The sequence below is a fragment of the Homo sapiens genome, chromosome Y, assembly GCF_000001405.40.
Source record: "Homo sapiens chromosome Y, GRCh38.p14 Primary Assembly".
Classification (NCBI taxonomy): Eukaryota; Metazoa; Chordata; class Mammalia; order Primates; family Hominidae; genus Homo; species Homo sapiens.
Window position 1 is genome coordinate 14339834 of NC_000024.10, and position 2847 is coordinate 14342680.

A 2847-nucleotide genomic window follows, 5' to 3' on the forward strand; every position below is an offset into this window, starting at 1 on the left:
TGATTTGATATGAAATCCAGATGTTCCTGGAGGAAGGGAGATAGCATTAGTGCCCTGATTTCTCAGCCTGTCATGAAACCAGGCCTTCACAATGTGACCACATTACAGCTTTTCTCACCAGAAAGTAGGGGATAGTTGATCCCTAAATTTTGAGTTCATCTCATTACTTGGTTTAGCAATGTTACAATGGGTGTCAACAGTGGCAGAGATTTTGAAAGTTCTTGTGCTTTTTCTTGTGCTCCTGCAGTTGGCCCCCATCTTTAGCTCATGCCTGAGCTAGCTTGCTGGAAGATAAGAGACCTATGGTGCAGTTATCTCAGATGATAACCATAGGAGTGAAGTCAACAGGGAACCAAAATACCATTTGGCTGAACACAACCTAAATGTGCAACCCATAATCCATCTCATAAGTTAGACAACTGCATTTTATTTCAAGCCATCATGGTAAGGTAAAGGGTGTTTGCTGTGCTGCATTATTGTAGCACTAGATAATCAATCTTTTCTTAAGCATACCCTGGTTTTATTGACAGTAGTTGTTCCTCAGTATCCAGAGGTGATTGATTTCTGGACCCCCCCACATGTTTCAAAACTTGAGAGTGCTCAAGCCTTTATATATAACATCGAAATGAGACAAGAAGTCTTCTCTTGATGGAAGGTCTTTCCTGGATAGAAGGGTTCACGGTCTCACGGGCTTCAAGGAACAAAGCTGTGGATCACAGCTGCGAGTGTTATAGCTTGATTACAGAAAGGCAGGGACCTGAAGAGTGTGCAGTGGCAAGATTTATTAAAGCGAAAGTGAAAGTAAAACAAAAGCAAAAGTAAAGCTTCCAGGCAGTGGAAGGGGGCCCAGAAGGGTTGCTGTTTCTGGCTTGGATGCCTTATGCTTGTATCCCCTTAAGAATCTTCCCGTTTTCCTTTTTCCGTCCTGTAGGATTAGCTTATTTTCTATCACTTGTAGGTTGGCAGGCCTGATTGGTTAAAAGCACTAGGCTACAGCTGCAGCTTAAACTCCCTATATGATTGATTGAAGTTTCAATCTGTTAGTTTGCAGCTATGACTCATTGTGGCTTAGAGGAAAGTCCCCTTTAATTGGTTAGAGTTTCAATCCCTTAGCTTGCAGCTATGACTCATTTTGGCTTAGGGGAAAGCCCTTGGGGAAGTCCCTATTGACCCAGGAAGTCCAGACAACTTAGCCACTTAGTCTCTCAGTTCTCCATCTCAACAAGAAAGCCCAAGTGCTGTTGGGAAGTTGGGCAACAACTGTTCTAGCTACTTACTGCTGAACTGGGGCATAGAAGTGGCTCTGCAGTTGAGTTTTCCTCAGGAGGGGAGTCTTCAGTGTCATGGTGAAGTAACAGGTTGGCGGTTCAGTCTAGGGGTCCTCGATAGCAGGTGCTAGTGGTGGTCATTTGGGGCTCCATCTGTAGAACCATTCGCAGTTTCATGGATTCTATTCTGAAAGGATAAATTTTACAAGGAGGTTAAAAATGCAGGCTCCACAGATAGGCAACATCACAATAGCCACCAAGGGTCCCAAGAAGGGCAGAAACCAGGGCATCTATTGGTTGACAATACTCCAAGACCTGTGTCTTGAAGCTCTTGTGCCTGGCAGTGTATCTGGTCTCAAAGCTCCCTAAACTTCTTGGTGACAAGTCTAGATTGATTAATGACATAGCAGCACTCTTCTCCTAGAAAAACACAGGTTCCACCTCTTTTGGCTATTAATAAATCTAAGGCCCTCCAATTTTGAAGGGCTACTGTTGCTAAAGGGTTAGGCTGGCTTTATAAGGTGACCAGTGAGTCTGCAACTCATTCCATGTCATCATTTAACTCCTGTGATAATTTGTACTAGAATTGAGTGGTGGTGGTAATGCCACCAATGCCAGTTCCTAGTCCTCCTTTTATCCCAGCCTCAATAATAAATGGCAAGACTACTGCCCATTTGTAACGGGGTTTGGGTAAAAGAAAATCCTGTAATTCCTGATCCATATAGACAGTCATAGGGGGGCACCAAAAAGGAGAGAAAGCATAGACTTTTGGAGGAACTATTTAAGCAGTGGTAAGCTGAGAAGCCACAAACAAAAAAGATCCCTGATGGTAAGCAAGAGAGTCGTGGAGGTAGGGTAATCCATGTTTTGCACTGGAAGATGGCTGCATTAATGGTTGTGCTAAATTTTACACAGGTGAGATTTGATGTATGTGTTATTTCTAGACTTGAGACTAAAGGGCCCACCAGGGCTGTGGTGTTTGTTCTCAGTTCATGGCTTTCCAATGTTTGGGAGCAGGAACTGGGACAAATAGTTTAAAGCATAAGGGGAGGAACATCCAGCAGTCAGTTGGATTTTGGCTGGAGGCCTTGTGAATTTCAGCAATGGTGACATTAAATAAATTTAGCAAGTGGTAGTGACTGACTAATCCTTGTGCTTTTAGGTCTTTGACGATCTTTTGTAACCCGTATTGGGCTTCTGGTCTGAGGGAGTACAGCCTTCGATAAGGAAAGGAGGTAGGATCCTTTAATTTAACTTGAACTGGATAAGTGTTTTTTGCTCATCTGTATTGTCCTTTCTCTGCTCACACTTCAGGATTAACTCCCTCCTCGAGTAGAGGGCAGCAAACAGGTATTCCTTCTCCTATATTCAATATATAATGCTCCCTGCTTTAGCAGTATATAACTATATAGTGGTCTCTCCCTAGTAAAGGAGTAGGGCTCTCAGGAATAATAAGAAATGCATGAGAGAAAAATAAGGTTCCCCAGTCACAACTTAGGGAGTGGGAGAAATGCCTAGTGACTGGCTGTCCTAGGAACATTTTGATGGTGACATACCTGGACAGTAGTTGTCCAGGACA

At 43.3% G+C, this 2847-nt stretch overlaps 1 annotated feature.

The window, feature by feature from the left end:
• Positions 657-1856: an enhancer, noted in NCBI's record as "MED14-independent group 3 enhancer chrY:16452370-16453569 (GRCh37/hg19 assembly coordinates)". NCBI's record gives its function as "activates an origin of replication core promoter dependent on BRD2, BRD4, P300/CBP and CDK7 cofactors, and independent of MED14, by STARR-seq in HCT116 cells {active_cell/tissue: HCT116}" and the evidence as "EXISTENCE:reporter gene assay evidence [ECO:0000049][PMID:35650434]".